Genomic DNA, 25,290 nt, shown 5'->3' with positions numbered 1-25,290 from the left:
CATTCTGAAGGCTCCTGTGCATACATGTTAAATCAATTTGTATGCCTTTTCTCCAATTAATCTGTCTATTATAAGTTGATTTTTCAGTGAAACTTCAGAGTTCACTGAAGTTCCCCTTAGCCCCTACACCTGCATTCTCCATTTCCTCCTACACCCTGGAAGAGGGTACCTACAAACTCTCAGTCCTGCCCCCTCACTGGGGTTTCGCATGTGGACTCCCCTATCTCTGCCAATCCCCACCAACCCCCTTTTCCACATTGGCCATCACTTCTGCAGCTGCCACTTCTTCGAGTCATTCACATGTCTTGAACATCCAGGGTGTTCAATAGGTATTTGTTGACAACGTGCAACCCTCTTTTTTTTTTTTTTTGAGGCAGAGTTTCACTCTTATTGCCCAGGCTGGAGTGCAATGGTGCGATCTTGGCTCACTGCAACCTCTGCCTCCTGCGTTCAAGAGATTCTCCTGCCTCAGCCTCCCAAGTAGCTAGGATTACAGGGGTGCCCGCCACCAGGCCCAGCTAACTTTTTGTACTTTTTATTTTTTAGTAGAGATGGGGTTTCACCATATTGACCAGGCTGGTCTCGAACTCCTGACCTCAGGTGATCCACCCGCCTTGGCCTACCAAAGTGCTAGCATAACAAGCATGAGCCACTGCGCCTGGCCTGCAACCTTTTTTACTGTCCAGGAAAACAAGGCTGGAAAAGTTAAGTAACTTGCCCAAGGTCACAGAGCTGTTACTGGCACATCCAACAGAACCCTATTCTTTATGGAATCTACTCCCAGTTCACCATGCTGCTTCTGAGAACTCTGAGATTAGAAAGTGCCAATGACTTCAAACAACTAAAAGGCTTGAACTAATAATACAGAAGATGTTGTGCCCATAGTAATAAAAAGAAACTAACATTTATTGAATGCCCATATATCATCACAATAATCATTGGAGATAGGGACTTCATCTTCCCACGCAGATAGGAAACTAAGGCACAGAGAGGAAGAGTAACTTACCCTGGGCTCCTGGGTAGAGGCAAAATTTGAACTCAAACCTGCCTGACTACAAATCCTACATGTTTAACTCCTCTGCTTAGGGCTTCTGGTAAGATACATCAACAAGACTGTTGCACTGATGCTTAAGAATGAGCTCATGGTCTTTGGTGAGCATTTCTCTCCCCGTCTATCTTATTCTTTCCTGTCCTGCAAAATACAGTTCACCATTTCTCCCCTGCACAGTCCCAGATCAATTTTTGGTTTGGGGCAATTGAAGTGCAGGGTCACTAAATCCTCTGAAACTGACAAGGAATCCATCTGCAGGCCTAACCAAAGCTAGGCCCCCCTTTCTGAAGGCACACACTCCCACCAGCTCACCTGGACTTCCTCCTTATGGTCCATCTATAAAGCTTCCTCAGTCCTAAGCAAGAAAACGGCACAGAGAGATTGCCAACCCAAAGAGATCAGGTCAGATTGAGTTTCTGAATTTAATCATCACTTTATGTGGTTTTTGTAGTTTCCACAGTTTCTGTGGGATGTGTTAAAAGTAAACAACCAGAGCTGGGCAAATATCATTTAAAGACTGTAAATAACAACCTCTTGAATTTAAATAGATGTTTTCATTTCATGGTGTTTTCACATTTATTATCCCAGTTGATGCTTCATCAACTCTGCAGAGAGAAGGCAGTTATTTCTATTCACCTCTACCCCATCGCAGCATCATCTTTTGCAAAAAGAAAAAAAAAAGAGACAGATCTAATTACTTGGTCCAAATTGCAAAAAGAAATGGAAGCCTGCATCCAGAACCCTGGCAAGTGTTGAATATTATTGGATTCCTTGAAATGATCATCTTCTACCCATGTATTGTGCCATAGCTCACCGGGCACTACCCCATCTATTGCATTGTGTGGAAGGAAAAGGACCAAAGCCTGGGGAGGTTGCGTAGCCTCCACGGAATGCAGACAGTGTGGACTCAGGCCTAAAACCCCAAGACCAACCCTTCTCCCGTGAGCTTCCTCATCCCGATGCTGTCCCTAGACAGTGTCCTGTTGTGAGAACCTCCTGTGGCCTTAAGCCAGGGTGAATGTTTCCTTTTCATTTCTCTTCCCACATCTATCTACAACTCTGATGTTCAATAATAACTTCCCTTCTATATGGGAAGTTTGAGATGCAGCAAGGACCCCCTCTTAGGGACCTAACAGGCCCTCCCAAACATGGAAATAAAGGAAAATCGTGAGTTCCCTGAAGGGAAATTACAGGCACCTAGCTAGCCCTGAGAAGTAAATGAGCAACTTGGTAAGCAAGAAAGTAATAGTAGCTTAAAACAATAGCCAAGGAAATTAGTCACAAGATATTTGGCTCCCTATGGAAACTAAAGAGAACATCTTAACATATGCCTCTGAAGTGTTTTTCAGAAAGCTAGGCCCCCACTAAATGAATCCCCTGGCACATAGACCTCAAGGGGAAACTGAGGACTGAACTCTGCCATTCTTTGTTCTGTATTTCTTCCTGAGGGGCCTGGAGGAAGGCACATCCATAGGCCAGAACTCAACATTTCTTTCTGCTGACCGAAGTTTTTAGACAGAGCTTCCATTCCTTAACCAATCACAAATCAGAATCTCTGAATCCACCTGTGGCCTGTAAGCCTCCATTTCCAGATATCCCACCTAAACCCACCTTTTTAGGTGGGATAAACTAATGTTTAACAAATATTAAACTAATGTTTAACATCCACGTATTAATTTACAGTTTTGCCTGTAACTTCTGCTTTCCTGAAATTTACCCCTGCCCTTAAAAGCCTTCGCTTGTAAGTCATCGGGGAGGTCGGGTCTTAAGCATGAGTGGCCCAATTCTCCTTGCTTGGTGCCCTGCAAATAAACGCTTTCCTTTCTTTCCCTGCAAAATCTTGGTGTGGGTGTTTAGCCTTGCTGGGCCTGCAAGCGGATCCCAGTTCAGTTCAGTAAAATGTTCAGGAAGAAGTCTCCTTCACAGTTCATATGGTGTAAATTCAGACTAATGATCAAATAATGTCTCCTACAACTGAAACACCAAATTGACGTATATTTATTCAGAACAGTGCTGGACTGTGAAGGAACAACAGAAAGATGGAACTGCCTTCAAGGAGGATGCAAATCAGCTCAAGAGAAAAGATCTTTAGGCAAGTAATCAGTGTTTACATAAATGTTCAAGAGAGTAAACAAGGTTCAAGAGAGTATATGGGTGTTACCTTACTGGACCTTGGAGAATACAGTAGTGAGTGGAAGAGACCAGATTCTGTCCTCATGGGAGAGTGTTGGGAATCAATTCTTCATTCAAATAAACATTTAATTAACAACCTACTAATTGGAATTAAAGAAAAGTAACAGGGGTTCATGAGCATCTAAACAGAGGGATCTGGCCTGTTTGTGTAGCCAGGGAGGGCTTCCTGGAGGAAGAGTGATTTTTGGTTGAGATCTGAAGAAATGGGAATTAATTGGGCTATGTGTAGAGTGGGGAGGCTACAGATAGTATGTGGCATGCCATTTCAGAGGAGGGGAGACCACTTAGTCTTGTGACCTGAGCCGATAAGGCTTGACATGGCTCTCAGAGGATGGGTAGATGAAGAATGGGAAAGGGGGGTGTGGAAGACATCTCTGGTGCCAGTGGAGTGCAGAGGCAGTAAAGCGTAAGTCCTGTTAAAGCCTGCCAAAGTGTACTAGTATCCTGGGAGAGCTAGACAACATTAATAAGACAACAGAGTCTGCTTCATCTCCATTTCCTCCTCCCTGTGTAGCTATTCCTTACCACCCTAATTTATATAGGCCACCCAAGGCAACCTCAACTTTTGTCAAAACAGTGGCTCAAACTAAGTAACTCAGGAAGCTGGTTAGATGGGATGGGTAAAAAGAGCCAGGACCCAGGAGCAACCAGTGGAGGAAAGTCTAATCAGGCAAGCAGAGGATATGTGATGTGATGACTAGGCCTTTAACCAGGAAAGAACATGGCCACAGAAATCTGCATGCAACAGGATCTGGAGTTCCAGGCAAACCATGCTGGAGGGTGTAGACCCCCTGATGCAGACTTTGGGTAGGACTCTACTCCCCAAGAGAGGAAGGGGTTAGCAAAAGCAAGGAGGGACTGGAGCCAGGCCAAAAGTCCAAGCCATGCCTAGGAGCAGTCCCCCTCCCACAAAAGGGACATATGCTAACATGGATAATGCATATGCAAATAGACCCTTGGCAGGTGCTTGTGATCATAGTAAAGATAAAAATACACATTCTAGACATGTTTATGAGTTCTGTTAAAGAGCTCATTAGCTAGCTGGGCATGGTGGTTCATGCCTGTAGTCTGAGCATTTTGGGAGGCTGAGGCGGGAGGATCGCTTGAGCCCAGGAGTTTGATACTAGCCTGGACAACACAGTGTCACTCCATGACTACAGAAAATGAAGAAAAAAAAATAGCCAGACATCGTGGTGCCTGTGGTCTCAGTTACTTAGGAGGCTGAGGTGGGAGGATCACTTGAAGGCACCCTGAGCTATGATCACACCGCTGCACTCCCATCTGGGTGACAGACTGAGACCCTTTCTCAAAGAAAAAAAAAAAAAGCTTATTACAATATTTTGGCACTGAAAAGGACATTAGAGATTATCTGATGTACCCATTCTTTTTTCAAATGAAGAAACAAAGATTCAAAGACTGAGTCACTTCGAAGTGTCACACAGCTCATTAGCCACAGAGCAAGGATGAAAACCCAGGTCTCTTAGCTCTTAATCTACTTCTCTTTCCACACATACTTCTAATTTTTAATTTTAAAGAGTTAGGTTTAAATTAGGAAAGAAGCAGTCTACGATCAATCCCATAATGAGCAGTGAATTTTCTCCTGACAAGGGCTTTTATTCTGAGACTAGTTCATTTTTTGTCTATGATCATTACATGTCATCTTACAAAGTCATATAGATAATTTGTTTCAATTGTTAACAGAATTGCTTTCACATGTCATTATGAGCTGTTCCTTTATCTACAACCATATTTATTAAAGCTTTCATTTTTCCATGACTTTGGGAGGGTGGAGTGTGGACATCTATATATGTGCATATTCACCTTGTGCATATCAGGTTAGAGACACAGCTGTGAATAGACAGTTACCCGAAGAGTTCAATTGATCCACAGCCAGGAGATCTGTCTTTGAAACCCAGGTTTGCCTTTTTACCAACTGAGTAAGCTTAGGTAGCTAATTTAAGTCCTCACTACTAAATGGTGATAGGAGACCCTGCCCTGCCTAGCTCGCAGGATCGTAACTTGACATAACCCTTCTCCTTTTTTTACATAACATTCTGTGGACACCGATGGAGAAGAGCTGTCCTAGACTCCATCTTTGTTGTCACACTTGACTTTCCAAGGAAAAAGGCATTTTGCCAACAGAAGTTGCCCCTGGACTGCTGCAAGTACATGACGGGAGAAGCAAGAAGGGAGAGATAGGGACATAGGTGATAGAAAAGGGAGAAAGCCTATCCATGTCTACTTCTAATCCCATTAGTCCTATGTGATGCAGCCAATGCCACAGTCCCCTTCCTCCTGTGCACCCTTCAGTGGGCTCCTAACCCCGGATCCCATTTCTTACCACTAGCAAAGGCCTCGCCCTCTGCCTGGGGGCCCTGCTCTTTCTGTCCTACCCAGCCCTTCACCATGGACCTGTGTCTAGCTGTCAGCCTCCTCCCTGGGTCTTGATGTTCCACTCTTCTCTGGGGCTCCCTATCCAGGATGCATATCCCATTTCCTCTGATACTAAACGTGGTAGCTAAAGGACCCCTGGGACCCACTGGTGTGGGAAAGCCCAGCCTGGCTCTAATCTCCCAGGGCACCCTGTGGTATGGCCCCATTATCCAGCTTTGGCCAATTTGCATGTAGCTACAAACTCAAACTCTCGCTTTCACCCTACTTGTCTCCTATTTGGTCCCTGAGGGAGGATCTCAAACACAGGCCTGGGATATTCATGTTCACCTTCCAGCATTCCATGGTGGCTACGGATGGACATGACAACTGGCAACAGACCCCTGTCCTTTGTCCATAATCCTCTCCCTTGGCCTAACAGCACTTCCACTCACAGGCAATACAGCCATAGCCACAGAGCTGCCATTTGAACCTAGAGCCAACATATCGTGGTCCAGCAGCCCCCACTTCTTCCCTGTAGACCTTCCTGTCCTCCTACAGACTCACTTTTATCTGGAAGTTCACAATACACAGGTGGCTTTCCAGGGTTCACATTTCTTGGAGGTAGGCAGATCTTCTCCCCTAGCCCCATTTCTGATGTCCCACAGCATGGTCAAGATGCTTTTGCAAATATATACTATTCACTCCTGAAAACAGTCTTGCAAAGTGGATATTATTAACCCTGTCTTATAGGTAAGAAAAGTGAAGGCATGGCAATTTTCAAAAGACACACAGGTGGTTAGGGGTAGAAGTGTGGGTCAAGCCCAGACCCCGACTCCAAATGCCGTGCTCACTCCACCATGCCAAGCTACAGGAAGCCTGTGATCAGTCCTCGTCAGCCAGGGCCCCCACATGCCAATCACATCACAGATTCAGAATGCCATCCCCATGTTCCCTATTCCTAAGCTAATTCTAAACAGAGGGAGCTACTGTCTGCTGATCATGAGAGACCTTCCAGCTGTCAGAATGACTTCCCAAGAGAAATCCAGGGAAGTCCCACTGACTTGTGCATTTAAAGTGGGGTGAGATAAACCTTCCAGAAACATTCCAAAGGAACAAATCTGTAATTGAGAAGGAAAGGAACAACCAAAATGGTCTTTCCAAATTCACATGTCTGTCATTAAGTGTCTCCTGGGGAAAGGGGGCAGAGAAACCAGGACAGTTCTAAGGAAAGGTTAGTCTAATTCTTTTATTTCCTCATTATAGGAGTTATCAAGTTCTGAGTCAGTGGAGAGATAGCAGTGTTAACTGCCAGAAGAGGAGCTGGTTCACCACTGTGCTGTCCCTTCCACATGTCAATTTCTGAGAGGAAATTCAAGGTGAGGATGACTTTGCAACCCCAGAGAATGGAAAGGGGGTTAGTCTCCTGGCGTGGATCTGTAGTCTCAAATATGGCCTTAGGATACTGGTCTACTGTGGTCCACCATGGTATATGAGGAGAGTAATTTGTTATTGTTAATGTATACCAAGTTTTGCAAATGGTTTTTTCCTATAAATAACAGAAATTTCAAAAAGCATTGGCCAGGCACAGTAGCTCATGCCTGTAATCCCAGCACTTTGGGAGGCCGAGGCGGGTGGATCATGAGGTCAGGAGATCGAGACCATCCCGGCTAACATGGTGAAACCCCGTCTCTACTAAAAAAAAAAAAAGAAAAAAAAAATTAGCCAGGTGTGGTGGCAGGCGCCTGTAGTCCCAGCTACTCAGGAGGCTGAGGCAGGAGAATGGCATGAACCCGGGAGGCGGAGCTTGCAGTGAGCCAAGGTCACGCCACTGCACTCCAGCCTGGGCGACTGAGCAAGACCCCGTCTCAGGAAAAAAAAAAAAGAAAAAATGAAAAACACACACACACACACACACACACACACACACACACACACGAAAGTGTCCCATCATTCTCACTATAACATGCTTTCAAGAGTAGGATAGAGAGGAGTCGAGAAAAGGTCAATGATACGGAGACACCCAAAGCTTTGTCCTGGATGCTTAGATGTGACTATATCTTTTTTGTTCAGATGGGAAAACATTTGCCACTGCATATTCTTAAAACTACCTCTTTCCCCAATACCATTATAGTAGCCCCTCTTTAGATTTTTGAGATTGAATAGAATTTATTTTTTAGTTAGCTTCATTTCTGAATAAATAAAAACCAAGAATAAGGGTTTCCATCAAGGCAATAGTTTAGAGCCGCTGCCTATACTGATTCATTGGGTGACTTTGGGCAACTCATTTAACACCTCTGACTGTAGTTATTTCATGTAAAAGATGTGGATAATTTATTATCCTGCTCTGTGTCTCTTATAAGGATTTTTCTGATGTTCAGATGCAAAATAATAAGAACTGGTGTTATTAAGCACCTACTGCATGCAAAACATACAACATCTCAGTTAATTCACACAATGGTGCCATGAAACAGGGTTTATTATCCAATTTTACAGAGGGAAACTAAAGAAAGAGGTGACCTGTGCAGAAGTGCTTTTAAAGGTATAGGGAATAATTTGCTGTGCATGGTAGCATGCACCTGTAGTCACAGCCACTCAGGAGGTGAGACGAGCACCTAAGCATGGGGAGATTGAGCCTGCAGTGAGCCATGATCACACCACTGCACTCCAACCTGGGTGACAGATTGAGACCTCGTCTCAAAAGAAAAATAAAAGAAAAGATACACGGAGCTGTAATCAATCATAAAAATTTAAAATGTTTTACTGTTAGAACTGTCAACTACAGACACTTTAAAAACAAGAATTAAATATAGATAGTTTTAAAACACAAACCAGTCTGAGAAACCAGTAAGACACACAATCTTTGGAAAAATATTTGCAGGGGTGAGAGGGTTCCTGTATTCTTTCCTTTATTCTTGGCACAGGGACACAATAGTGAACAAAAGGCCGCAAACTCTCTGCTCTTATGAAGCTTATATTCTTGTGGTAGACACAGATGATGAACAAATACATTAGTAAAAAACAGAGTACAGTCATCCCTAAGTATCAGTGGAGGATCAGTTCCAGGAACCCCATGGATACCAAAGTCTGAAGATGCTCAAGTCCCTGATATAAAATGGCATAATTACACCTGAAATCCCCACACTTTGGGAGGCTGAGGCAGGCAGATCAGTTGAGCTCAGGAGTTCAAGACCAGTCTAAGCAACATGGCGAAACCCCGTCTGTACAAAAAATAATTTTAAAAATGGCATAGTGAGGCAGCCAAGATGGCTGAATAGGAAGAGCTCCAGTCTACAGCTCCCAGTGTGAGTGACGCAGAAGACGGGTGATTTCTGCATTTCCATCTGAGGTACCGGGTTCATCTCACTAGGGAGTGCCAGACAGTGGGTGCAGGACAGTGGGTGTAGTGTACCATGCGCGAGTCGAAGCAGGGTGAGGCACTGTCTCACTCAGGAAGCACAAGGGGTCAGGGAGTTCCCTTTCCTAGTCAAAGAAAGCAGTGACAGACGGCACCTGGAAAATCGGGTCACTCCCACCCTAATACTGCACTTTTCCGATGGGCTTAATAAATGCTGCACAAGGAGATTATATCCCGCACCTGGCTCAGAGGGTCCTACACCCACGGAGTCTCACTGATTGCTAGCACAGCAGTCTGAGATCAAACTGCAAGGCGGCAGCGAGGCTGGGGGAGGGGCACACGCCATTGCCCAGGCTTGCTTAGGTAAACAAAGCAGCCAGGAAGCTCAAACTGGGTGGAGCCAACCACAGCTCAAGGAGGCCTGCCTGTCTCTGTAGGCTCCACCTCTTGGGGAAGGGCACAGACAAACAAAAAGAAAGCAGTAACCTCTGCAGACTTAAATGTCCCTGTCTGACAGATTTGAAGAGAGCAGTGGTTCTCCCAGCATGCAGCTGGAGATCTGAGAACAGGCAGACTGCCTCTGCAAATGGGTTCCTGACCCCTGACCCCCGAGGAGCCTAACTGGGAGGCACCCCCCAGTAGGGGCAGACTGACACCTCACACGGCAGGGTATTCCAACAGTCCTGTAGCTGAGGGTCCTGTCCATTAGAAGGAAAACTAACAAACAGAAAGGACATCCACACCAAAAACCCATCTGTACATCACCATCATCAAAGACCAAAAGTAGATAAAACCACAAAGATGGGGAAAAAACAGAGCAGAAAAACTGGAAACTCTAAAAAGCAGAGCGCCTCTCCTCCTCCAAAGGAATGCAGTTCCTCACCAGCAATGGAACAAAGCTGGACGGAGAATGACTTTGATGAGGTGAGAGAAGAAGGCTTCAAACGATCAAACTACTCCAAGCTACAGGAGGAAATTCAAACCAAAGGCAAAGAAGTTAAAAACTTTGAAAAAAATTTAGATGAATATAACTAGAATAACCAATATAGAGAAGTGCTTAAAGGAGCTGATGGAGCTGAAAGCCAAGGCTCGAGAAGTACGTGAAGAATGCAGAAGCCTCAGGAGCCGATGTGATCAATTGGAAGAATGGGTATCTGTGATGGAAGATGAAATGAATCAAATGAAACAAGAAGGGAAGTTTAGAGAAAAAAGAATAAAAAGAAATGAACAAAGCCTCCAGGAATTATGGGACTATGTGAAAAGACCAAATCTACGTCTGATTGGTGTACCTGAAAGTGATGGGGAGAATGGAACCAAGTTGGAAAACACTCTGCAGGATATTACCAGGAGAACTTCCCCAATCTAGCAAGGCAGGCCAACATTCAGATTCAGGAAATACAGAGAATGCCACAAAGATACTCCTCAAGAAGAGCAACTCCAAGATACATAATTGTCAGATTCACCAAAGTTGAAATGAAGGAAAAAATGTTAAGGGCAGCCAGAGAGAAAGGTTGGGTTACCCACAAAGGGAAGCCCATCAGATTAACAGCGGATCTCTTGGCAGAAACTCTACAAGCCAGAAGAGAGTGGGGGCCAATATTCAACGTTCTTAAAGAAAAGGATTTTCAACCCAGAATTTCATATCCAGCCAAACTAAGCTTCATAAGTGAAGGAGAAATAAAATACTTTACAGACAAGCAAATGCTGAGAGATTTTGTCACCACCAGGCCTGCCCTAAAAGAGCTCCTGAAGGAAGCACTAAACATGGAAAGGAACAACAGGTACCAGCCACTGCAAAATCGTGCCAAATTGTAAAGACCATCGAGGCTAGGAAGAAACTGCATCAACTAACCAGCAAAATAACCAGCTAACATCATAATGACAGGATCAAATTCACACATAACAATATTAACCTTAAATGTAAATGGACTAAATGCTCCAATTAAAAGACACAGACTGACAAATTGGATAAAGAGTCAAGACCCATCAGTGTGCTGTATTCAGGAAACCCATCTCACGTGCAGAGACACACATAGGCTCAAAATAAAAGGATGGAGGAAGATCTACCAAGCAAATGGAAAACAAAAAAAGGCAGGGGTTGCAATCTTAGTCTCTGATAAAATAGACTTTAAACCAACAAAGATCAAAAGAGACAAAGAAGGCCACTGCATAATGATAAAGGGATCAATTCAACAAGAAGAGCTAACTATCCTAAATGTATAGGCACCCAATACAGGAGCACCCAGATTCATAAAGCAAGTCCTGAGTGACTTACAAAGAGACTTAGACTCCCACACAATAATAATGGGAGACTTTAACACCCCACTGTCAACATTAGACAGATCAATGAGACAGACCCAGGAATTGAACTCAGCTCTGCACCAAGTGGACCTAATAGACATCTACAGAACTCTCCACCCCAAATCAACAGAATACACATTTTTTTCAGCACCACACCACATCTATTCCAAAATTGACCACATAGTTGGAAGTAAAGCTCTCCTCAGCAAATGTAAAAGAACAGAAATTATAACAAACTGTCTCTCAGACCACAGTGCAATCAAACTGGAACTCAGGATTAAGCAACTCACTCAAAACCGCTCAACTACATGGAAACTGAACAACCTGCTCCTGAATGACTACTGGGTACATAACAAAATGAAGGCAGAAATAAAGATGTTCTTTGAAACCAACGAGAACAAAGACACAACATACCAGAATCTCTGGGACACATTCAAAGCAGTGTGTGGAGGGAAATTTATAGCACTAAATGCCCACAAGAGAAAGCAGGAAAGATCTAAAATTGACACCCTAACATCACAATTAAAAGAACTAGAAAAGCAAGAGCAAACACATTCAAAAGCTAGCAGAAGACAAGAAATAACTAAAATCAGAGCAGAAATGAAGGAAATAGAGACACAAAAAACCCTTCAAAAAATTAATGAATCCAGGAGCTGGTTTTTTGAAAGGATCAGCAAAAGTGATAGACCACTAGCAAGACTAATAAAGAAGAAAAGAGAGAAGAATCAAATAGACACAATAAAAAATGATAAAGGGGATATCACCACCGATCCCACAGAAATACAAACTACCATCAGAGAATACTACAAACACCTCTATGCAAATAAACTAGAAAATCTAGAAGAAATGGATAAATTCCTCGACACATACACCCCCCCACCCAAGACTAAACCAGGAAGAAGTTGAATCTCTGAATAGACCAATAACAGGAGCTGAAATTGTGGCAATAATCAATAGCTTACCAACCAAAAAGAGTCCAGGACCAGATGGATTCACAGCCGAATTCTACCAGAAGTACAAGGAGGAATTGGTACCATTCCTTCTGAAACTATTCTAATCAATAGAAAAAGAGGGAATCCTCCCTAACTCATTTGATGAGGCCAGAATCATCCTGATACCAAAGCTGGGCAGAGACACAACCGAAAAAGAGAATTTTAGACCAATATCCTTGATGAACATTGATGCAAAAATCCTCAATAAAATACTGGCAAACCAAATCCAGAAGCACATCAAAAAGCTTATCCACCATGATCAAGTGGGCTTCATCCCTGGGATGCAAGGCTGGTTCAATATACACAAATCAATAAATGTAATCCAGCATATAAACAGAACCAAAGACAAAAACTACATGATTATCTCAATAGATGCAGAAAAGGCCTTTGACAAAATTCAACAACCCTTCAAGCTAAAAACTCTCAATAAATCAGGTATTGATGGGACATATCTCAAAATAATAAGAGCTATCTATGACAAACCCACAGCCAATATCATACTGAATGGGCAAAAACTAGAAGCATTCCCTTTGAAAACTGGCACAACACAGGGATGCCCTCTCTCACCACTCCTATTCAACATAGTGTTGGAAGTTCTGGCCAGGGCAATCAGGCAGGAGAAGGAAATAAAGGGTATTCAATTAGGAAAAGAGGAAGTCAAATTGTCCCTGTTTGCAGACGACATGATTGTATATCTAGAAAACCCCAGCGTCTCAGCCCAAAATCTCCTTAAGCTGATAAGCAACTTCAGCAAAGTCTCAGGATACAAAATCAATGTGCAAAAATCACAAGCATTCTTATACACCAATAACAGACAAACAGAGAGCCAAATCATGAGTGAACTCCCATTCACAATTGCTTCAAAGAGAATAAAATACCTAGGAATCCAACTTACAAGGGACATGAAGGACCTCTTCAAGGAGAACTACAAACCACTGCTCAATGAAATAAAAGAGGACACAAACAAATGGAAGAACATTCCATGCTCATGGGTAGGAAGAATCAATATCGTGAAAATGGCCATACTGCCCAAGGTAATTTACAGATTCAATGCCATCCCCATCAAGCTACCAATGACTTTCTTCACAGAATTGGAAAAAACTACTTTAAAGTTCATATGGAACCAAAAAAGAGCCCACATCGCCAAGTCAATCCTAAGCCAAAAGAACAAAGCTGGAGGCATCACACTACCTGACTTCAAACTATACTACAAGGCTACAGTAACCAAAACAGCATGGTACTGGTACCAAAACAGAGATATAGATCAATGGAACAGAACAGAGCCCTCAGAAATAACGCTGCATATCTACAACTATGTGATCTTTGACAAACCTGAGAAAAACAAGAAATGGGGAAAGGATTCCCTATTTAATAAATGGTGCTGGGAAAACTGGCTAGCCATATGTAGAAAGCTGAAACTGGATCCCTTCCTTACACCTTATACAAAAATCAATTCAAGATGGATTAAAGACTTAAACGTTAGACCTAAAACCATAAAAACCCTAGAAGAAAACCTAGGCATTACCATTCAGGACATAGGCATGGGCAAGGACTTCATGTCTAAAACACCAAAAGCAATGGAAACAGAAGCAAAAATTGACAAATGGGATCTAATTAAACTAAAGAGCTTCTGCACAGCAAAAGAAACTACCATCAGAGTGAACAGGCAACCTACAAAATGGGAGAAAATTTTCACAACCTACTCATCTGACAAAGGGCTAATATCCAGAATCTACAATGAACTCAAACAAATTTACAAGAAAAAAACAACCCCATCAAAAAGTGGACGAAGGATATGAACAGACACTTCACAAAAGAAGACATTTATGCAGCCAAAAGACACATGAAAAAATGCTCACCATCACTGGCCATCAGAGAAATGCAAATCAAAACCACAATGAGATACCATCTCACACCAGTTAAAATGGCAATCATTAAAAAGTCAGGAAACAACAGGTGCTGGAGAGCATGTGGAGAAATAGGAACAACTTTTACACTGTTGGTGGGACTGTAAACTAGGTCAACCATTGTGGAAGTCAGTGTGGCGATTCCTCAGGGATCTAGAACTAGAAATACCATTTGACCCAGCCATCCCATTATTGGGTATATACCCAAAGGACTATAAATCATGCTGCTATAAAGACACATGCACACGTATGTTTATTGCGGCATTATTCACGATAGCAAAGACTTGGAACCAACCCAAATGTCCAACAATGATAGACTGGATTAAGAAAATGTGGCACATATACACCATGGAATACTATGCAGCCATAAAAAAGGATGAGTTCATGTCCTTTGTAGGGACATGGATGAAATTGGAAATCATCATTCTCAGTAAACTATCGCAAGGACAAAAAACCAAACACTGCATGTTCTCACTCATAGGTGGGAACTGAACAATGAGAACACATGGACACAGGAAGGGGAACATCACACTCTGGGGACTGTTGTGGGGTGGGGGGAGAGGGGATAGCATTAGGAGATATACCTAATGCTAAATGACGAGTTAATGTGTGCAGCACACCAGCATGACACATGTATACATATGTAACTAACCTGCACATTGTGCACATGTACCCTAAAACTTAAAGTATAATAATAATAAAATTTTTTAAAAAATGGCATAGTATTTGCATATAATTGATGAACATCCTCCTGTATAGTTTAAGTCATCTCCAGATTACTGACAATGCTATATAAATTGTGGTTACACTATATATTTTAAATTTGTATTTTAAAAGTATTAAATTGTTATTTTTTATTTTTCAAATATTTTCAATCAGCAGTCAGTGGAATCCCTAGATGTGGAAACTACAGATACAGAAAGCTGTCTCTATGTCAGATGGCGATGAAAGCTAAAGAGAAAAATAAAACCAGAAAGGGGAAAGGGGAGCTGCAAGTTGAATACGTGGTCAAGGAAGGCCTTGCTAAGAAGGTGCCACTTGAGCAAAGACCAGAAGGAGTTGAGGGGTGATCTATGCTGGTATTGGAGGAAGAACCTTCCAGAGAATGCAATAGACCAGGGGATGAAATCCCAAATCCTTTGATGTTCTTGTGGACATTCCCAAAGGTGAGACCATACTGCTGAGGTGTTCTAAGAGTCCTGAGATTGAGAACAGAAAGAAAGGAAGCCCCTCAATATGACTGACTAGAGGCGTCTGGTACTCGCCTCCTCCATAAAGAACCACTGAAGTATTGAGAAGATAATCACACTTCAAATATACCATCTAAGAGAGAACGCTGGAATTCAACAGAGAAGTGACAGGAAACACCTAAAGCAAAGAAAGAGAGGGAAGTGAGGCAGCCTGCTCAGCTGCCTCACCAGACTTGGCTGCCTTGGGCCTGAGGATCAGCCCACCCCTTCCTACCACAGCCAACACATGCATGCACCACCAGGGAGCCTGAGGATAGAGCCACCTGGCCTGGCTCTGCACTGCCAGTGCCTGAGCACATTGTCTGGGGACCTGGGGACCACCCAGCTCAATCCACCACCATTGACACTTGAGCACTCCTCCCAGGGGCCTGAAGTTGGGCCCACCAAACCTGCTGCTACCACCACAGCAGGCACCCACCCATGGGCCTGGGGGTTGAACTACCCGGTCTGTCACAGCCACCACTAACACCAGCATGGAACACTTGGAACCCAGAGGTTAGTCCCACAACTACTCTGCCATTGTCCATGCCACACCTGCTGCCCAGGAGCCTGAGAACCTGTTCATCTGCTTAGCCTACCACTGGCACTACCTATACCTGAGCAAGCCACCTGGAGGTCCACGAATTGACCCACTTGAACTCAGTAGCACTGGTGCCAGCATATGCTACCCTGTGGCGCAAGGATAGGCATACTTGGCCCACCACTGCCACCACTAGGGTCCAAAGACAGCCCCCCGCACCCAGTATTCCCATATCCAGCAAAACTTTGCCGCAGGCTTCATTAACAACTGCACTCTAAGTCATTGAGGAAATCAGAAACCACCAACATTATTTACAGCAAAAGAAATCATACAGAGACTATACTACTACACGCACGCAGAATCAAAGCCAATGTGTCCTATCCAACCAACACTATATCAATATCTTCAGGAAAAAAAGTGCTCCCCTACAAAAGCAAATTCAAAATATCAAAAGAAGCAACTCTTACATCAGATGCATAGACAGCAATGTAAGGTCACATGAAACATGAAGGAAGCTATCATACAAAAGCATGACACCTCTAAAAGAACACAATGATTCACCAGCAACAGACTTCAATCAAGAAATTTATGAAACCTCAAAAAGAGAATTCAAAATAATGATATTAAGAAGCTTAAGAAAATACAGAAGAACAATATAAAGAAATTAGAAAAACAATTTGGGATATGAATGAGAAATTTTCCAAAAAGATAAATGTCATTTAAAAAATGAAACAAATTCTAGAACTGAAGGATTAAATGAAATACAAAATACATGCAAAAGCTTCAAAAATAGATTAGAGCAAGCAGAAGGAAGACTTTCAGAGCTCTAAGTTCTTTTGAAATAACCCAGGCAGACAAAAATACAGAGAAAAGAATTTTTTTAAATGAAAAAAGCCTACATGACATATGAGATACCATAAAGCAACCAAATATTCAAATTTTTGGTATCACAGAAGGTGAAGAGAAAATGAAGGGGTTAGAAAACCTATTTAATGAAATAATAGCTGAAAACCTCCCAAGACTAAAAACAAATTTAGACATCAAGATGCAGGAAGCTCAGAGATTCCCAAACAGATACAATGCAAAAAGGTCTTCTCTACTGTACATTATAGCCAAGGTGTTAACAGTCAAAGATAAAGAGACAATTCTAAAAACAGCAAGAGAAAGGCATCTAGTCACTTAGAACTCCCAACAGACTAACAGTGGATTTCTCAGCAGAAATGTTACAAGCTAGGAAAGAATGAGATGATATATTCCAAGTGCTGAAAGAAAAAAATGTCAGCCAAAGATACCATATTTAGCTAAGTTATGCTTCATAAATGATGGTCAAATAAAGTCTTTCCTAGACAAGCAAAAGGTGACAGAATTCATCACCATTAGACTGGTCCTACAAGAAATGCTTAAGGGAGTTCTATACCTAGAAGCAAAGGGATAATATCTACCATCATGAAAACACATGAAACTATAAAACCCACCGGTGGAGCAAACACATAAATAAGCAAGAAAATGGAATCAAATGCTACCACTACCAAAGAAAACTACCAAACCACAATGATACACAATGAGAGAAAGAAAGGAACAAAGGACATACAAAACAACAAGAAATCAATTAACAAAATGATAGGAATAAATCTTCACATACCAATAACGACCTTGAATGTAAACAGATTAAACTTTCCACTTAAAAGATATAGACTGGATGAATGGATGAAAATACAAGACCCAACTCTAGACTGCCTACAAGAAACTCATCCCACCTGTAAACATACACATAGACTGAAAGAAAAAGGATGGAAAGAGATATTCTATGCAAATGAAAACCAAAAGTAAGCAGGAGTAGCTATACTTAGATTGAAAGACAAAACAGTACAAAGAGATAAAGGTCATTATATAATAATAACGGGATTAATTCAGCAAAATGATATAACAGTTCTAAACAAATATGCACCCAGCAGTGAAGCACCTAGATATATAAAGCAAATATTAGATTTAAAGGAAGAGAGATACTTCAATACAATAATTGGGAACTTCAACACCCTACTCACAGCATTAGACAGATCATCTACCAGGGGTGTCCAACCTTTTGGCTTCTGTGGGCCACATTGGAATAATTGTCTTGGACCATCCATAAAATACACTAATGATAGCTGATGAACTTAAAAAAAAAAATCACAAAAAAAATCTCAATTTTTTATTTTTATTTTTTTTAATTAAGTCTTGCTCTGTCACCCAGGCTAGGCTAGAGTAGAGTGGCGCGATCTTGGATCACTGCAACTTCTGCCTTCCGGGTTCAAGCAATTCTCCTGCCTCAGCCTCTTGAGTAGCTGAGACTACAGGTGTGGGCCACCACGCCTGGCTAATTTTTGTATTTTTAGTAGAGATGGGGTTTCACCATGTTGCTCAGGCTGGTCTTGACCGCTTGACCTTGTGATCCGCCTGCCTCTGCCTCCCAAAGTGCTGGGATTACAGGCGTGAGCCACCACGCCCAGCCAAAAATCTCAATGTTTTCATAAAGTTTATGAATTTATGTTGGGCCACATTCAAAGCTGTCCTGGGCTGCACACAGCCCTTGAGTTGGACAAGCTTGATTGGTCTAGACAGGAAATTCAAAAAAAAACACTGGAATTCAACTGCACATTAGACCAAATGGACCTAACAGACATTTACAGTACATTTCACCCAGCTACACAACACACACTCCTCTCATTAGTACTTGGAACATTCTCCAGGATCAACCATATGTCAGAACACAAAAACAAGTTTTAACAAAATTTTAAAGTCAAAATTATGTCAAGTACCTTCTCAGACCACAGTGGAATAAAACTAAAAATTAACAACAAGAGGAACTTGAGTAATTGCACAAATACATGGAATTTAAACAACATGCTCCTAAATGACAATTGGGTCAAGGAAGAAATTAAGGAGGAAATAGAAACATTTCTTAAAACAAATGAAAATTGAAACACAATATACTAAAACCTATGGGATACAGCAAAAGCAGTGCTAAGAGGAAAGTTTATAGCAGTAAATGTCTACATCAAAAAAGTAAAAATATTTCAAATGAACAATCTAACAATGTACCTTGAGGAACTAGGAAAATAAGAATAAAGCAAACTCAAAATTAGTAAAAGGAAAGAAATAATAAAGATCAGAACAGAACTAGATAAAATTTAGACTTAAAAAAATACAAAGGATCAGCAGGGAGCGGTGGCTCACGCCTGTAATCCCAGCACTTTGGGAGGCCAAGGCGGGTGGATCACAAGGTCAGGCATTTGAGACCAGCCTGGCCAACATGGCAAAATTCTGTCCCTACTAAAAATACAAAAAATTAGCCAGGCGTCGTGGCAGGTGCCTGTAGTCGCAGCTACTCAGGAGGCTGAGGCAGGAGAATCACTTGAATCCGGGAGGCAGAGGTTGCAGTGAGCCGACATCATGCCACTGCACTCCAGCCTGGGTGACAGAGTAACACGCCATCTCAAAGCAAACAAACCAAAAAAAACAAACAAAAACAAAACAAAAAACAAAAATACAAACGATCAATAAAACAAAAAGTTGTTTTTTTAAAAAAAGATAAACAAAACCAACAAACAGGGATTACTTTGAATCTGTAGATTGCTTTAGACAGCTAGGCTAACCAAGAAAAAAAGAGAGAAGACCCAAATAAAATCAGATATGAAAATGGAAACATTAAAAACTGACACCACAGAGATACAAAAAGTTACAGACCATTATGAACAACTATACACTAATAAAATAGAAAATCTACAGGCAATGGATAAATTCCTGGATACATACAATCACCAAGAGTGAATCAGGAAGAAACAGAAAACCACAGCAGACCAATAATGAATAATGAGATTGAATCAGTAATAAAAAGTCTCCCAACAAAGCAAAGTTCAGGACTGGATGACTTCAGTGTGAAATTCAACCAAACTTTCATCAAGAACTAATACCAATTCTCCTCAAACTATTCTAAAAAGTTAAAGAGGAGGGAATTTTCCATAACTCATTCTATGAGGCTGGCATTACCCTGATACCAAAACCAGACAATGATGCAACAACAAAAAAAAAACTGCAGACCAATATCCCTGATAAACATAGACACAAAAATCCTCAACAAAATAACAGCAAAAAAAATCCAACAACACATCAAAAAGATAAGACACCATGATCAAGTCCTCAGGAGGCAAGGATGGGTCAAAAAAAGCAAATCAATAAACGTGATACATCACATCAACAGAATGAAGGACAAAAACCATATGGTCATCTCAACAGTTGCAGAGAAAGCATTTGATAAAATTCAACATCCTTTTATGATGAAAAGTCTCAACAACTAGTTATTGAGGGAACATAACACAACATAATAAAGACCACAGATGACAAACCCACAGCTAACATGATACTGAATGGAGAAAAACTGAAAGCCTTTCCTCTAAGAACTGGAACAAGACAAGGATGCCCACTTTAGCCACTCCTATTCAACAGAGTGCTGGAAGTCCTAGCCAGAGCAGTCAAGCAAGAGAAAGAAATAACAGGCATCCAAATTGTAAAGGAGGAAGTCAAATTTTCCCTCTTTGCAGATGATATAATGGTACATATTTTTAATTTTTGGATCTCATATTGAAGGAATGATATTATATATAGAAAAACCTAAAGATTATACCAGAAAACTCTTAGATATGATAAATTCAGTAAAGCTGCAGGATACAAAATTAACATACACTATTCTATACACCAATAGTGTACTGGCTGAGAAAGAAATCAAGAAGCCAATTCCATTTACAATGCCTACCAATAAATTAAAATATCTAAATATAAATTTAACCAAAAAGATGAAAGACCTCTATAAGAAAAACTGCAAAACACTGATAAAAGAAATTGAAGAGGACACAAATGGAAAGATATCCCATGCTCATGGATTAGAAGAATTAATATTGTTAAATACCCATACTGCCCAAAGCAATCTACAGATTCAAAGTAATCTGTATGAAAGTACCAACATAATTTTTCACAGAAATAGAAAAAACAATCTTACAATTCATATGGAACCAAAGAGAGCCAGAATAGACACAGCAATCCTGAGCAAAAAGAACAAAGTTGGAGACATCCCACTACCTGGAATCAAAACATATTACAAGGCTATAGTAAGCAAAACAGCATGGTATTGGTATTAAAAACAGACACATACACCAATGGAATAGAGAACCCAGAAATAAATCCATATATTTACAGCTAGCTGATTTTCAACAAAGGGGCCAAGAACAAACATTGGGGAAAGGACATCATGTTCAATAAATGGTGCTGGGAAAATTGAATATTCATACACAGAAGCATAAAACTGGACCCCTATCTCTCATCATATAGAAAAATCAACTCAAGTTAGATAAAAGACTTAAATCTAAGACGAAACTATAAAACTACTAGAAGAAAACACAGGGGAAACACTTCAGGACATTGGTCTGGGCAAAAATTTTATGCCTAAGACCTCGAAAGCACAGGCAACGAAAACACAAATGGGACTATATTAAAGTAAAAAGCTTCTACACAGCAAAGAAAATAATCAACAGAGCGAAGAGACAACTTGTTGAACGGGTGAAAATATTTGCCAACTATTCATCTGAGAAGGTACTAATATCCGGAATATACAAAAACTCATACAACTCAATAGCAAAAACAAAAACAAATAATGCCTAAAAAGTGGGGAAAGGACAGGAATAGATATTTCTCAAAAGAAGACATACAAATGGCCAACAGATATACAACAAAATGTTCCCCATCACTAAACATCAGAGAAATGCAAATCAAAACCACAATGAGGCTGGGCACAGTGGCTCACGCATGTAATCCCAGCACTTTAGTAGGCCAAGGTGGGTGGATTACCTGAGGTCAGGAGTTCGAGACCAGCCTGACCAATATGGTGAAACCCCATCTCTCCTAAAAATACAAAAAGTTAGCCTGTGCCTGTAGTCTCAGCTACTCAGGAGGCTGGGACAGGAGAATTGCTTGAAACCAGGAGGCAGAGGTTGCAGTGAGCTGAGATCATAACACTGAACTCCAGCCTAAACGATAGAGTGAGACTCCGTCTCAAAAAAACAAACAAAACACAATGAAATATCATTTTACCCCCAGTTAGAATGGCTGTTATTAAAAAGATAAAAAGTAACAGATGCTGGTGAGGATATGGAGAAAAGTGAACTCTTACACACTGTGAGTGGGAATGTAAATTAGTACAACCACGGAAAATAGTATGGAGATTTCTCAGAAAACTAAAAATGGAACTACCATATGATCCTGCCACCTTGCTACTCTGTGTTTATCTACGAAAGAAATCAGTATGTCAAAGAGATATCTGCGCTTTCATGTTCACTGCAGCACTACTCACAATAGTTAAGATATGGAAACAATGTACAATCCACTAATGAATGAAGAAAATGTGAGATGTATAAACACACACTATGAAATACTGTTCACACATTAAAAAGGATGAAATAATGTAATTTGAAGCAACATGGATGGAACTGCACATCATTATATTAAGTGAGATGATGCCCAGGCTCAGAAAGACAAATACCATATGTTCTCGCTCACATGTGGGAGCTAAAAATATTGATATCACAGAGGTAGAGAATAGAATAATAGATACCAGAGGCTGGGAATGGTGTGGATCTGTAGAGGGGAGGGAATACAGACAGACTGGCTAACAGGTACAAAGAGACAAACATACACTTAGAAGAAATAAATTATAATGTTCAACAGCAGAGTTGCGTGACTAAAGTTAACAGTATTGTATTGTATATTTCAAAACAGCTAGGAGGGGACTTGAAATATTCTCAACACATAGAAATAATAAATACTAGAGGTGGGCCGGGCACGGTGGCTCACGCCTGTAATCCCAGCACTTTGGGAGGCCAAGGCGGGTGGATCACAAGGTCAGGCATTTGAGACCAGCCTGGCCAACATGGCAAAATTCCATCCCTACTAAAAATACAAAAAAAAAATTAGCTGGGCATGGTGGCGGACGCCTGTAGTCCCAGCTACTCAGAAGGCTGAGGCAGGAGAATGGCGTGAACCTGGGAGGCAGAGCTTGCAGTGAGCCTAGATCGTGACACTGTACTCCAGCCTGGGTGACAGAGCAAGACTCCGTCTCAAAAAAAAAAAATAAATAATAAATATTAGAGGTGGTAGATATCTCAAATACCCTGACTTGATCATCACAGTCTATGCATGTAACAAAATATCACATGTACCCCACAAATATGTATGAATGTTGATATCAATAAAAAATGCAAACCAAATAATAATAATCATAGGAAGAAACATGACTTACCCACTACATATTCTTGACCATCCCTGAAAAGTCTCGTTCTTGCCTTAGTATTTTTTATACAGGTATCAACCCATCGTGTTACACTGAGATGCTAATAATCCTTGTTTGAAAAGCCCCCAGCACCAGGCTCGGTGGCTCATGCCTGTAATCCCAACACTTTGGGAAGCCAAGGCAGGCAGATCACCTGAGGTCGGGAGTTTGAGACCAGTCTGGCCAACATGGAGAAACCCCATCTCTACTAAAAATACAAAATTAGCCGGGTGTGGTGGTGCATGCCTGTAATCCCACCTACTAGGGAGGCTGACGCAGGAGAATCATTTGAACCCGGGAGGCAGAGGTTGAGGTGAGCCTAGATGGCGCCATTGCACTCCAGCCTGGGCAACAAGAAGGAAACTCTGTCTCCAAAGAAAAAAAAAAAAAGAAAAAGAAAAGCCCCCAAATGCAAGTGACTCATGTTGAAATCCCACTTCAGAGGCCCGTGCAAGAAATTATCATCACTTTAAGAATACACAGAAACTACTAAGTTTTTCCTGCAGCTCTCTCATGTCTACAAAACTGAGTAGAAGAGTGTGCCCTTTGGGGCCAACAAAGCGACCCCTTCAAGATTCTGTTGCCAAGCAGGGTAACGTGCTTTCAAACCCAAAGCATTTTAGTCCTCAAAGGAAAGCCCAGCCCCTCCACAGCTTGGGTGTCCCGCTGGCCACAGAGCCACTGTCCCGGGCTGCTACCCTCTGCGCTCAGCCCCTCCCCTCCACCGCCCCTGCCCTCATTCCATTATTAGGTATGCATTTCAGATTTTGAATGGATCTCCTTGTCTGGCGTTAATTGACAGTGAAAGCCCGGTTTTCAAAGCCAAGGTACAAGCACTGAAGGTAAGTGATCAGAGGACTGCCCTCGCAATAAATCACTGCAGCGCAGGTCACTGTTTGGAGTGTGAATGCAGTGTTCAATAAAGAAACACACTCCACCTTTCAGCTTCAAGCCGACCCTAGCTAATTGACCTCATTGTAGTCCCCCCATTAATCATTCTGGCACATGGGGCAAGAGGCAGTTTCACTGCTTAGGTTTGCAGGGAGGAGGGGGACCGCGTCCATGTAGGGGTGGTTGAGGGTTGAGGGGGCAGTTATAATGTAAAAGGAAATCATAGACAATTCTGTCTTAATTAACTCATTGGATTTCCAGGTTGACCAGATATGGTTAACTTTGCTAAAGGAATGTGGGGAATAGTGCAAGGGCCTTCATTAACTTCATGCCAGGTCGCAGGAGTTTGAGGCTGTAACAAAAGCAGATGTGAGCATCTGTAGCCCATCCAGAGAGCAGCATTGCCAAAGGAGCGGGGCGTTCGCCTAATGCTACATAATCATTCAGTGTCATCGATCTCCCCAGACCCTGATTAATAAATTGCAGCAGAAGTCTTTTACGGTGGTGACTACAATTTTATTTCACCTATTAGAAGCCCGTCACAGTGCACACCAGTCATGCAGGACGAGCTTACACACCCCTCCCTCCCACCCCTCCAGGCCTCTCCATTGCTCTGAATTTGCTTTGCTTGTGCACCTCCATGGGCCTGTTTTGGTTGAGAAACATGGGGTGCCTTTTGCAGGTCCCTCCATCATGCCAAGCTAACCCCAAGCTGACCACAGGGAACAGAAAGGGAGCGTCAACAAAGGGGTCAGTTCAAACAGCAGCTTGAGGTTTGTTTTTTTTAATGCAACACAGCAAACATAATTTAGGCAGCCATGGTGTGCCAAGCACCAGAAAGAAACACACGCGTGCACACACACATGATTTGCGTGCACACACACAACATGATTTGGTTATGGAACTTGGAATCTGCATTGATCCATTTATATTTTCAAAATGCGAGATCTGCCTTTTTGTACCAAGCTGCTTTAAAAGGTCTGTTTCCCCATGATTAGTCACAATTATTCAAGAATGCAATAGTTTCACAGTTCACAGGGGTAAACAAAGCCCCACAGGTCAGCAACTTTCATTTTGAGAGGAAGAAAATGAAAAAGAGA

The 25,290-nt window shown here is 41.8% G+C and overlaps 1 long non-coding RNA gene across 1 annotated transcript in view, besides 1 other annotated feature; it reads right to left on the bottom strand.

Annotated features, from left to right (window-relative positions):
- LOC107986933 (uncharacterized) overlaps positions 1-25,290 on the bottom strand; it is a 207,238-nt gene that overhangs the window by 167,552 nt on the left and 14,396 nt on the right. The window lies entirely within an intron of this gene.
- Positions 9,134-9,820: an enhancer, noted in NCBI's record as "NANOG-H3K27ac-H3K4me1 hESC enhancer chr8:25517514-25518200 (GRCh37/hg19 assembly coordinates)". NCBI's record gives its function as "activates a minimal SCP1, AML or CMV promoter by ChIP-STARR-seq in primed H9 embryonic stem cells {active_cell/tissue: H9 hESC(primed)}" and the evidence as "EXISTENCE:reporter gene assay evidence [ECO:0000049][PMID:30033119]".

The sequence above is a fragment of the Homo sapiens genome, chromosome 8 (assembly GCF_000001405.40).
Source record: "Homo sapiens chromosome 8, GRCh38.p14 Primary Assembly".
Lineage (NCBI taxonomy): Eukaryota > Metazoa > Chordata > Mammalia > Primates > Hominidae > Homo > Homo sapiens.
The sequence above is the reverse complement of the archived record's forward strand: the minus strand, read 5'-3'. Positions and strand labels throughout refer to the sequence as shown.